General features: G+C 36.9%; 1 long non-coding RNA gene across 1 annotated transcript; it reads right to left on the reverse strand.

Annotated features, from left to right (window-relative positions):
* Positions 1–555: 555 nt before the first annotated feature.
* Positions 556–13069, reverse strand: RGS2-AS1 (RSG2 antisense RNA 1). Its single transcript, NR_126003.1, has 3 exons — positions 12915–13069; positions 2113–2232; positions 556–715 (listed from the first exon to the last, which is right to left on the reverse strand). It is a non-coding gene; the product is annotated as an RSG2 antisense RNA 1 (long non-coding RNA).
* Between the last annotated feature and the right edge of the window lie 680 nt (positions 13070–13749).

The raw sequence follows: 13749 nt of genomic DNA on the forward strand, positions 1-13749 counted from the left end.
GGGTAAATCGTAAGGAGCGCCTGCTAAGAGGTACTGTACCAGGGCTGTAGGAGAGATCTTGATGGGAAAAAAAGATGCATGATTCCTTAAATCATTTGGAAAAAAATTATTTCATTTCTGTGTTAAAGAAGGTTTATATCTACTTGAAGAGATTCAGTAATGTATACATATAGATTAAAGCAAAAAAGGATAACTGCAGAAAGGCTGATCCAAACCAAGTGCAATACATAGACTAAAGGAAGTCATTTTGCCTGGTGGAATGTTGGAAGGCTATCTCAGGTAATAGGATTTAGACTAGATTAAAAGGATCAATATATTTTCATTAAATAGCAGTGCAATAAACAGTTATTTTCCATAGATGGAATAGTGTTAGTAAAGATTCCTATATGATAAAGAATATGTGTGTCCCAGGAGTTCTAAAACCAGATTTGGTAGAAGCAACAGAAGGAATCATTAGGACTTCTTAATATTGAGAATTAAACAATAAGTTTGCTTCTGGCTACAAGAAGTAGAATCTCAATTTAACCAAATAAAGCCACTTAGTCCAGAGTTAGGTACTTCCAGACATATTTATTCAGTAGCTTCTTAAATTCATCAGGGAAATGCTTTTTCCACTTTAGCTCTACTCTGCCATCCTCACCATGTTAAGTTGAATCTCTCCTCATGTCACCAGGTGGCCTCTGCAGTCTGGCATCACTCCAGGTACCACAGCATCCTATGTAAGAAAAGAGACTGTTTCATCCCTGCATCTCCTTTTAATAATGAAGAGATTTTTTCCAGAAGCTCTCCAGCTGAGTTCTTATCAGCTAGACCTAGATCACATACTCATCCTTACACCAGTCTCTGATAAGACAAAAGTATTACCAAAACTGAGCAGTGTTTTACCTTCGAGGCACAGGAAGAGAAGTCAGGGCTTCGCTAACAAAGAAAAAGGGAGACTGGCTCTTGACTAGGCAACTCACAACGTTAAGGAACCACAGCTATTCCCTGAAGCCTGTTGGAGGAAAAGGTAAAGTAAAGGGCTTCTCTCCCTATTTAGAACAATGGCTCCTTTACAAAGGCTGGGAAGATGGTGGTTGGGAGTTCCTCTAGGCAACAACAGACCTTATTCAATAGATGATGGTTTGGGGTTTGGGCCATGGCACCTTCACATCCTACTCAAATCACTAGGTGGTCAGGTCCATAAGGAGGACAGGAGCAGAGAGAGGCCATAGTTCAAGGTCAAGATTTTTAGAGAAGTTTGTAAGTTCTTCTCTTCCTTCCTAGTGTTGGGCAGGTGAGCCTCATAACATCATTAGGCACCAATCTTAGGCACTCTGAGGGTAGGTCCTTCCCAATTGCATGTCTCTTGCCAGTCATATAATGCAATCCATATATTTAAAGAGTTTCTCAAATCAATTCAAATCTCAAATCAATTTATTGTTTTGTCAATTACTTTATTTCAGAACATGATGTCAGAATTCTTAATACCTCAGTAAAGGTAATGTTTTGGGTAAAGTAACTGTTGCATCCTGCGTCAAGGGCATATAATCTGGGCACCCAAGTCAATTTTCATAATCATATGTTGCTACATTGTCATTTTAGTAAGGAAATGATGATGATGTTTTGTGAAACCACATCTTTTTTTCAGCTACTGTTTTTTACTTTATGATAGGAGGGGAAAAACACAAAAACAGAATGAGTCACTCCATTGCCACCACTTCTCTATCATTTTCCTTCCTGTTTTCCTATTGGAGGTTGCAGTTAAGGTCACTTCTGGACTCATTAGAGTCTCAAATCAGGCTTAGATGAAAGCACTGAGGAGATGTTTTGTCCTTCATTTGACAAATATTTATTCTAGAACACTGTTCCAAAGAATTAAAAATCTAAATAAAATATAGCCATCCAGGCAGCTAGCAGAAAAATAATGAAATAAAAGTACATTTATTGGCATGGAAAGTTGTTCACAATAAAGGAAAATATATATCCATAAGCATTGTTCACTTTTCTGTGTGTATGTGTGAGTAGAGACTGTGTGTATGTATCTATCCAGATATTTTTTTTCATTATTCATGTATATACATAGATATATTGAGCGTGTAGTGTGCTATCTTAAACAAACAAAACACTTGCCTGTAGTTACTCTGTCTTCTAAGAGCTGGTGTAGGGGTGGTAGACAGTGATGTAGAAGGTGGTCAGAATCACAGCTTTCATGCCAGTGGGAGAATAAATCTCTATACTGCTTTCTTTTGCCTACACAAGCCAGTACAAAAGGAGTCTTGCCTAAGATTTTAATCATGTTAAAAGAAAGATTAAAATTTCAAAATTTAGGGTAAGTTTTGCCTAATACATTTTAACTTTAGAGCAATGCACATTTGCATAACAAAAATCTCAAAGAACATAGTTTCTATCTTTAAGGAGCTCTTTTAGAAAAACACAGAGGAAGAAGTCACTGCCTCTACCTGGAGGTACCCAGGTAGGCTCCCTCAAGGAGTTGGTCTTTAAATTGGGTTTTAAATGAAAAGTCCTCAGAAAATAAACAGCACATGTTAAAGCATAAAGGAGCCTGGCAATTCAGTAGGACTGGACCTCAGACAGGGGTGTATGGAGACCCACATATGGAAGGGAGTGTAAGTGGTAGCAAAAGGCTGTAACAGCAAATGGGGCCCAGATAATGAAAATGTAAGCCAGCCGGGCATGGTGGCTCACTCTTGTTAATCCCAGCACTTTGGGAAGCCAAGGCAAGAGGATTGCTTGAGTCAATGAGTTCAAGACTAACCTGGGCAACATAGTGACACCTCTGTCTCTACAAAAAAAATTTTTTTTAAATTAGCTGAGTGTAGTGGCACACACCTGTAGCCCTAGCTACTCAGGAGGCTGAGGCAGGAGGATCACTTTAGCCTGGGAGGTCAAAGCTGCAGTGAGCCGTGATCACACCACTGCACTCCAGCCTAGGCAACAGAGTAAGACCCCATCTCAAAAAAAAAAAAAAAAAAGACAGAAAGAAAAAGAAAAGAAAAAGTAATCATCTCCAAATGAGATTTCACCTTCAACATCATGAAGAGTCACTGAAGATTATATTTCCTTTAACAAAAAAGAACACATAATTTTAAAAGTGTTTTTATGTAAATTTTTGTAATCATAGAACAAAGGATATAGGGAACTAACTCTTTGTTCTTAACCTGAAGCTTTAGATCCTTTAGACTAATTCTCTTGGAGTAGAGCAGCACATCCAAAGTGGGGCTCCGGACTGGGATCAGCCAATAACACATTTCTCACCAGACCAGGGGGAAATAACAGACATAAGAACAATGTAGGGAATTTTGTATAAAACTAAATCTATTCTGTATTTTATTTTAATGTGTGTACATTTAAGGAGCACGAGCACAGTTTTGTTACATGGATAGACTGTGTAGTGGGCTTTTAGTATAACCATCACCTGAATAGTGTACATGGTTCCCTCCTCTCACCATCTACTCATCTCTCACCCCCTCTCACCCTCCCACTCTTCTGAGTCTTTATTCAGTATTTTGAAATTTATTTTTAATGTCTCTCATTAGCAAAACAAAAAGGAAATTGGCAATCCCATGTTGGTGTCCCCTAATGTATTTTTACTTTCTTGTTCATTAAAGCTGAAGTTCAGGGAACTACTGGACTACAGTTGTGTAGTTTCACTAGACGCTGAAACTAGCCAGAAAAAGGAAAATAAGCAGGGCAAAACACATAAAAACAAGCGAGCAATCAAAGAGTTAGAGGAAATTCCAGTGGTCTAGGAGAAAATGTGGAGGTGAAAAAGGAACTGAATTTAATAACAAATAAAGCATTAGTTTCCTGCAAAGTTGAAATAAATATTTTATTTTAAAAAAAGAGACATTGTACATTCTTCTTTTAAATTTTTCGTGCCAAATACCTAGTTTATACTTTGTATTTTTAGAAGAATCATTTGAGGCTTAAAATGCAAGGCGTGTGTATATATAAATGTCTTTCCTTTATGAGATACGTGTCTTCTGCACAGAGGGCTGTAAAAAATTATCTAAAATTTTTTTAATAATAAGAAAATTTTTGCCAAATAAATCTTTATTCTCATATTTTTTAAATGCTAAAGAACCTCTCTCAGTAGATTGTGTTGTCAATTCTAGCATGGAAGAATTAGAATCATGTTCTGGCTTGTGCAGTGCAGAGGAATTACAGGATATTTGCTGGGCGTTTCACCTTATAATTCACTTTTCCTCTGTGTGATCTTCTCTTTCTAATGTTGTTCTTTTCTTTCTCCTATAGTCAATTTACTTGCAAGCACCTACTCCTAGTTTGTTTCCTGAGTGGTTGTAGGTATCTGCCACAGGCTGATAAACTTCCCGAGGTCAGTTACCTCTTAGTCTTAGTCTTCTCTTAGTATCCCTGCAGAGAACCCAGGCCCATAGACTCATTTAAGCTTGTTTACTTACTTTGCCTTCCCTCAAAGAGCGATAAAGAAAATGACCTTAGCTCCATAATCCTCAACTCTGATTTATAGAACAAGGCATCCCATTAGTGGCTTTCATTTCCATCCTATCAGTCAATTGTGTTTTGGCAGGATACCTCAAAGTTAAACATCATAAAGCTAGATTTAATGTTAACTTATTGCTATGTAAATGGAAATATCCTTTTCATATTTCACTTTCTATTTGTGTTAGATCATAAAAAATTAAATCCATCTAGCTCTAGCATATAATAATGCATGTTTAGAGACAAGAATAGGAATCAGAAGGGTAGATTTGAAAATAAGTTTGAAAATGACAAAAAGATATTTAAATCAGACTTCATCTTTTAAAGAGCAAACATTTGTGCTTTATAAAATTCACTAAATTTATTTGTTTCCTTAAAATAATAAGAGGATAAAATTTGAAGCTCCATATGCAAGTTTTAAAAATGATAATTTTAAAATGTTAATTCTTTGTTAGCTAAGGAAGTATTTTGGATATATCTCTTCCACAATTTTATCTTCTTCTTTTCAATAATTATTTTTAACATAAATTTAGCTTATAATTTCATCATCAAAGCTTTAAGAAATCCATAAGTATTTTTAGCAACATTGTAAATCTCTCTTATTTCTATTCTGCTTTTTTCCATTCCATTTTTTATTATAGTTAAAAATAACTATAATACTAGCCCAGTGTGCATTCTTCCTCTTTGGGGTATATTTTAAGCAACTAACAATGAATCCAATTTGTCAATAGCTCAGAGCGCATATTAGACAGACAAATACATTAAGCACGGAAATTTGCATTGAAATAAACATACCATCACGACTTCTTAAATTAGGATTCACAGTAACTACCATTTAGTGAGTTCTTATCATGTAGCACACACAGTGCTAAAAATTCAATATGTATAAATACACACATACATATATACATACATATATAATCTTGTTTATTCTTTATAGTAACAGTATGAGGTAGGTACATTTAACGTTCCCATGTTACAGATAAGGGTACTGACACTTATTAAATGAAGATATTTGGTAAGAGGCAAAGCCAGAAATAAAATTCAGGTTCTGCCTGTCTAACTCTAAAATCTATAGACAATAACCTGCATAATTGCAAAGTGGGCAGACTGATAACCTTATAAAATCAGGATCACCCAAATTCAAAATGACACCCAACACTCTCTGACCCTTATTACATAATTTCTCTAGTGAGCAAACACTGTCATACTTTGCAAAGACAATTTCATACTTCCTCAATGTCTGTCTCATAGCAGCTGCTCAATAAAGATATGTTAAATAACAATAATAGCAAAGATTTAGATAATGCTATATACAAAGCACTTCTCTTTCTTTCCTATTTTTTTAAGTTTTAGATTCAGGAGGGACATGTACAGGTTTGTTACATGGATATATTGTGTGATGCTGAGCTTTGGGCTTCTATTGAACCTGTCACCCAAATAGTGAACACAGTACCCAATAGGTAGTTTTTCAACCCTTGACCCTCTCCCTCCCCTCTTTTAGTGTCCCCAGTGTCTGTTGTTCCCATCTTTGTGTCCGTGTGTACCCAATGTTTAGCTCCCACTTTTAAGTGGGAACATGCAGTATTTGACTTTTCTTACCTTTATACATTTTAACTCATTTAATTTTCTTAACAGCCCTATGAGGGTAGTTACTATTGCTAGTCTAATTTTGCAGATGAGGAAATGGAGGCACAAAGAAATTAGATAACTTCTTCTGGGTCATGTAAGTGGAAGAATTAGACTTCAAGCCCAAGCAGTCTTGTGCCCTAGTTCCACAGTCCATAGCCCAAACAAATAAATGAATGAAATAACCAGAATGATTTTTGCCAACATACATCAAATTATCACTGCCTTGAATCAAATCGTTCAGGGACTCCCCACTAGTATGTAGGATAAAAATGTGCAGTTCATAGTCCAGCCTGTAAGGCCCTATATGATCTACTACTTCATCTTTCACCTCACATTTTGTGCCCTTCACTCTCCTCGGTCTCATACAGCAGATATCATTCAGTACTTTCCTTCCAATCTGGGTCCTTCACACATGTTGTTTCTTCTCCCTAGAAGCTCATTCTTAAGACCTTCAACTGATTAACTTGAATTCATCATTCAAGACTCCACCTAAATATAACTTCTTGTGAGACAGTGTCTCTCATATGCCTATATAACCAAGGTATCTACTCTTGTTATATAATCTTGTAGTACTTAGTACAGTTTCAAAGGGTATGTGCCTGTCTATCTGTCTCTTCCTCCTTCATTACACTGTAAATTTGATGAGGGCAGAGACCATGACTTGTTCTAGTACATGTCCTGTACTAGGTACTTGACAGAAGCTTGTTGAAAGTGAGAATGAATAAACAGCTCAATCAAAAGCATTATTCAAAATGTATTGTCATAATATTGTGCGCGAATGTGTATGAATGCCAATTGCCAAATATATCTGCCAAGCACTAATTTAATAATCAAGAATATCCACCAGGTCTCTGAGGAGCTAAGATTGAATATGGTTATCAAGCCAAAGATATAATGAAAACGAAAGAGGATCGGCTTCCTCTTTTCTCTCATCATGTTAAATGCAGTAACTATAGTTTTATCTGCTACATGTGTGATAACAGCACATCCCCTCTTCATTGAGAAAGGCCTCCCCCTTACCTCAGTGTCCTGTCACAGGTACGAGCCAGGGACCATGTCAGGCCAGAGTTGTCCATGCTTCAAGCAACAATGATTCCTTAGAACATGAGCACAAGGCCCCACATGGGCCAGTCAGAATCCTCCATGTGACTATTAGATTAGTTCAAATTAGGAGCACTTCCTTCTTTGCCTTTGGAGTCACAATTCTAGGAAGATTTAAATTTAAGCTGCTTAATAGCCATCTTCCCAAGTCGTATGGAAGAAGCCTGTCTGTATCACCAGAAAAAGAGGCCCAATGTGCTAACACAAACAGAAATAAGCAGAGATGAAAAGCAGAGAGACATCTCTAATTCTCATTTAAGCTATTGTACTCCACTATATCTGAAGTCAGCTGTATTCCAGACTTTCCAGGTAGGTAGGCAAACAAGTATTTCTTTTTGATAAAGTTGTTTTGAGAAGATCTTTTTGTCACTTGCAGCCATGTGCCCTGATTCATACATCTTCCCAATCAAATCACAATTCCAATACTTGGAAACACAAAGCCTTGGAGGGGCCTGCGTCAAGATTTACAGAAAACTGAAAGATTATAGGCTTGGTTCAGACTTACAGGGAACTTACACACAGTGCATAAGAACAGAAAATCCTGTCATAATCACAAAAACCATACCAGGTCATACAAAAGCCTGGGAAAGTGGAATGTCCCTGAGGAAAGAAGCAAAAAGGAAGAAAAGTTACCCCTTCCACAAAAGTGTCCTTTTTTTCCACTGAGGGTTGCTACTATTACAGGTAGAGGCCCAGGAGAAATACTCATCATGTTTCCTGCATGTCCAAATGAGAATTCCCATCAAAGCAGGCCTCACTTCCTCTACAGAAGCTACAGGGGTTGCTGTTTGTTTCAACCTAAGTCTGGGTTATCACTATTTTAAACCTCAAGAACATATAATCCTGCCATCATCTGACTCTTTTGTAGATCTTGTAACATTTGAAATCTTACATCTGTTCCTGTGATGCAATTAACTTTAGAGTTAGACACCAAGTTTGTTATCCTTGTAATTCCACAGTGTTCCCCGGTGCCTTGGGAGAAGAGAGGCACAACACTACAGACAGAACGAAGAATTTAAAGGAGCAGCGAAATGAATGTTTTAACTCATAGCAGAACAAATGGTCTGAAAGTTAAGTAAAGGCTCATCTACAAGTGTGGATTTTTGAACATAGAATCCCTATCTGTGTTTTGATTTTTTTTTTTTTCCCAAGAGCTTGGTTTTCCAAAGAAAAAGAGATTTGGGTCATATTAATTGCCAACACTTAGAGAGCATTTACTATAAGGCAGGTGCTGCTTCTTATTTGAACTAATTTAGCCTTCTTAATGATTGTCCGATTGTCTTGAATTTACTGTTGAGAAATGTCAAAGAGGTTACACTGCTTGTTGAAATTCACACAGCTGTGTAACCACAGCTGTCTCTGCTGTTGCCTTTATCACTACCTTTCCCAGAATCACTTACTGCCTAACAATCTTGGGTATCTCCATCAGCTCTTTCTCCTCTTTTGTATATCAACAACTTTAAATTTTTATACAAAATATATTTAAAATCTTTTTTAGGGATTTCCATGAAATATCTGCCCTCCATTTAGCTATTTTGTGATACTTTCTGGGAGATTCTTCTCAACATTATCTTTCATTTACTTTATAGAATTTTTAAAATTTTTAATGAATATTTTCTATTTCCAGGATCTATTTTTTGGTCTCTGAATTCCCTTCTCAAGGCATCCTTAATTCCCGTGAGAATACTAATTAGAATTTATTTGGTGTTTCTCTCTTTTTTCTTCCATTTTCAGAACTCTTTATTTTTCAAAACTTTATACCAATTAAACAATCATTCCCCTTTCCCCTCTCCCTTCAGCCCTTGGCAATCAGCTTTCTAGTTCTTTTTCTATGAGTTTCACTATTCCAAGGACTACATATAAGTAAAACCATACACCATTTGTCCTTTTATGACTGGCTTATTTCATTTAACATGATATCCTCAAGGTTTCTCCATGTTGTAACTTGTGTCAGAATCTCCCTCCTTTTTTAAGGCCGAATAATATTCTATTATGGTAACTGTGTGTCCATAATAAAATGTTTATGTGCATTTTTCTAATAATCAGTGATGTTGGACATCTTCAATTTGCCATTTGGAAATCTGAGCTTATTTGTCATTTGTATATCTCTTCAGTGAAATTACTATACAAGTCTCTTTGTATAGTAATATATATCTCTTTGTATAGTATTGTATATCTCTTCAGTGAAATTACTATACAAGTCCTTTGTCATTTGTTTTTGAAAAGTTTTTCTGGGTACTGGTGATTTTTAGTTAGATGAGTAAGTTCTTCAGATTTCTAGGATTTCAGTGCACCCATCACCCGAGCAGTGTACACTATACCCAATATGTAGTATTTTATCCCCCACCTCCCTTCCAACCTTCCCCTTCGAGTCCCCAAAGTCCATTACATCATTCTTACAACTTTACATCTTCATAGCTTAGCACCCACTTATAAGTGAGAACATATCACATTTGGTTTTCCATTCCTGAGTCACTTCATTTAGAATAATGGCCTCCAGCTATATCCAAGTTGCTACACATTGTTTCTCTCTTGTTCTTTGCACTATATGTATTTCCTCGAGGACCAGAGATTTCTTTGTTTTCCACTTGTGTTCATGTTATCTCAAATCTCTAGCGATCCCTTAGCCTTTGTTCATATTTAAGGTTCTGCTAACATGAATGAAGTGTTTCAACTGGCTGATTTGCTTTAGGGAGATGACTGAGTAAACAAGTTATTATACCAGGGTTCTTAAATGACACCATTTAGAGGTCATTTGTTGGGGGGGGTGGGGGGACACTGTCCAATTTACTTAGAGAAGAAACTTCTGATCTTCTAACTGGGAATTAGAGGAAATTATGCCAGTATTATGTACATTGTAGTAATTGGCAATTCCATGTATAGACTTCCATCTCCATGTTTTGAACTTTTCTCTGCTGAACCTAACGTCTAAAAATATCTTCTGACCCTCACTGGGTTCTGCAAGAAAATCATTTTTCTTCTTACTCATATCTTTTCTGAGACCCTCTTGGCTGCAGCCTCCCTACTACATCTGTGAAAACGCCATTCACTTTCCATCTTCTAGAATCTTGTTGAACTCCCTCTTTTTCCTGACACCTCTTTCATTCTCGTCTGTGAAACTGTATGAATTTATTCTGTTGTAATCACTCTATTACAAGATCAAGAGGAAAGTGACAAATGCTGACTTTAACAGGAAGTCATCTCTCTCTCTCCACCAGCGGTCAGGATCCCACCCCACCTATTGCTGTGGGACTTCACTCTTGTCAGGACACTCCCACTCTCCTGTATCTCTGACCATTCTTTCTCTGATTGGCTTTTTCCCATATTCATCACATGCTCAGATCTTTATCAGCTAAAAATTAAAAAGAAATCTTAAAAAAAATTAAAACAGTGCTTAGACTATAGTAAACTCATCCATGGTGATCTCTTTCATCTCTCTATAGTCAAGAATCTTAAATGAATGGTCTGCATTTGTTTCTCCTTATTGTTCAGTGATTCTTTGCAATCTGGCCTTCATTACCACTCCACAGAAACTATCCTGATCATGTGATGCCTTTGTTACTAAAGCTGGTTGATACTTTTCCATATCTGCTCGAGCTCTCTGTAGCATTTGACATCAGTGGCCAAGCCCTCGTCCTTCCTCTGCCTTCCACAGATCATGACACCAAAGTTTCCTTCCTGGCTCTCTATTAGTTTCTTCTCAGTATTTTCCATGAATTCCACTTCCCCTGTCTATCCCTTAAATGTTACTATTTTTTAAGATTATGTACTAAGTTTTTTCTAGTCTCATTCTGAAAATTATTTACAAATTATCTCTTCTAATTCTATACCTATATTTATCAACTCAGTCTCAATGACTCGAAAATGATATCTTTAGTCCAAAGGTTTTTCTTTTATTCCAAATTTCTATACCCAATTACTTTCTGGGGGTGTGAACTACCATGGCCTATGAACACTCCAAAATCAACATCTTCCCTCACCTCCCAACCATCATCCATCCAGTTGTCTAAGCCAAATACTTGTGTATCTTCCTAGAATCCTAGCTTCCCCACTTACACATAATCATCAACTCTTTGGGGGATCTATTTAATTCTATGTGATATATCCCCAACTGATTCAATTTCATCCAATTTCAGTTAGGCAACAGACATAATTTGTCTCTGTGCCTCAAGTCTTATTCTCTAGAAGGCTTCCCTGAACCTCCACAAAACTAGTTTTCTCCTTATACATTCTTTTTTTTTTTTTTTTTTTTTTTTTTTTTTTTTTTTTTCCTGACAGAGTGAGACTCTGCAGTGCAGTGGCTGATCTCGGCTCACTGCAATCTTCGCCTCTCAAGTTCAAGCGATTCTCTTGCCTCAGCCTCCCGAGTAGCTGGGATTACAGACACCTGCCACCATGCCTGGCTAATTTTTGTGTTTTTAGTAGAGATGGGATTTCACCATGTTGGCCAGGCTGGTCTCCAACTCCTGGACTCAAGTGATCAGCTTGCCTAGGCCTCCCAAAATGTTGAAATTACAGGCATGAGACACTGCGCCTGGCCTCCTCATTATACATTCTTATTCAATGCTGTACTCCTCATTCATAGCAATCCTCCCAAGTATAAATAAATTACTTATTATATAAATGGTTGTCATTTGTCTCCCTCAAAAAATTAAGCTCCCTGAGGGAAAAGAACATTCATAATATTTAATATTTGTTAGATGAACAAATGGATCAATGCTTCTTAAATTTATTTTCTACACTGCCACTAACCTAATCTTTCTAAAACAAAAACAGAGTCATGTCACTTTACTGTAAAAAATCCTTCAATGGAAAAAAGAAAAAAAAAGGGAGGTCTACAGTGGATTCCCACTGCCTTAAGCTATTGATTTTATGTCTAAACTTCTTAGCATGAAAGACAAGGTTTTCTAAGACCTGGTCTACTTACCTCTACAGCTTTGTTTCTTTAGCTGACTGCTCAATATCACTGCTCTCCCTCAACTTAACTGCAAATAAATTCAATACTTCAGAAATAACAAAGGAGGAAAAACACTCTTTTAATATTTTATTATGCTCAAATAATTTAAAAATATATAAATAAAATGATTAAATAAAGCCCCAAACCTTTTTTCAAATAAGCACCCTAAATTATCTAAATCACCTAGGATGCTTGTTTTCCTAAGAACCAAGGAATATTTCAGGTGATTTAGTATAAAGTATAGCATGCCCAGACAAGATCCCATAACAGGAGTTACTTACCTGGTGCTGCTTATTTTGGATATCAGAATTTTAAAGGAAATGAGGTCCATTTGGTTTAGGCATCTATATATATATCAGTACGTAGAGGACTAAATGAGGGTTTAAAAGAATTTGTTGAATATAACTGAACCAACTCTAAAATGAAAAATATATAAGATGGAATGATGATTAAATGGAAATGCTTAACTCAGTAAATGATCAGTTTCTTATTTCTAATGGACCCAAGTCTGCAATTCAAAGTTGGGAAGAGGCAGACAGTATGACATGAAATACTCTGTGTATTATATCAATTACACCTCAAGAGAAGAATTTGACTTTGCAAATTACAGAACTAGTAAGAAAACATTTTTTTTCTTTCATACGGGTTTAGTCTGTCCTTAAAAGGGGGCTTTGGGGGTAGATATTGGATTCAACTGTTATTTGTCAGACAAGTGAAAGAATAAAGAGAAGTGTGTGACACAGTGGTGGAGAAGCCTTACCTGGGACCAATCTGAAGTGCCTGTTGTGTTCTGCAGTATCATAAGTCGCCAGGGTCTCTCTGTCTGGCATAGCCATTCTCATTCCCAAAGTGCTTCAGGGATTTGGATCAAATCCAAAGACTATTCTGCTTGTTCATTCTGAACAGATTAATTCAGATTTGGCTAAAGATACTGCTGAGAAAAGAAGCGTGAATCCTAAGGGAACATCAACTTTCATGACTAAAGATAGAATTACCTGAAAAGTACATGGGGAGCTATGGGCAGAGTTAGAAGTTTATATTCTTACAAAGAGATCTAAACTTAAAGGAACAAGGACTGGGGAGAACTATAACTGCCTATGACAGTCAGTTTCTTACATGGTTTTATTTTAAACTATGCAGAAAAATTACACAGAAATGGCTCTTTCGGCCAGGCACGGTGGCTCACGCCTGTAATCTTGGCACTTTGGGAGGCCGAAGTGGGTGTATCATTTGAGCTCAGGAGTTCGAGACCAGCCTGGGCAACATAGCGAAACCTTGTTTCTACAAAAAATACAAAAATTAGCCAGGTGTGGTGCACCTATAGTTCCAGCTATTTGGGAGGCTGAGGTGGGAGGATCTCTTGGGCCCGGGAGTTTGAGGCTCCTGCAAGCCAAGATACTGCCACTGCACTCCAGCCTGGGCAAGAGACCCTGTCTCAAAAGAAAAAGAAATAGCTTTTTTTTCTCACCCTACATTATAATTTTCATCAGCCACCTCCAACCAATCAGTAAAATCTAATATATCTGTGCAGTCTTCTGTGTAATTAATACGATAAACAAAGGGGCAGAGCAGTAAAGAGAAATGAGAATTGTCCC

Source organism: Homo sapiens, chromosome 1, assembly GCF_000001405.40.
Source record: "Homo sapiens chromosome 1, GRCh38.p14 Primary Assembly".
Lineage (NCBI taxonomy): Eukaryota > Metazoa > Chordata > Mammalia > Primates > Hominidae > Homo > Homo sapiens.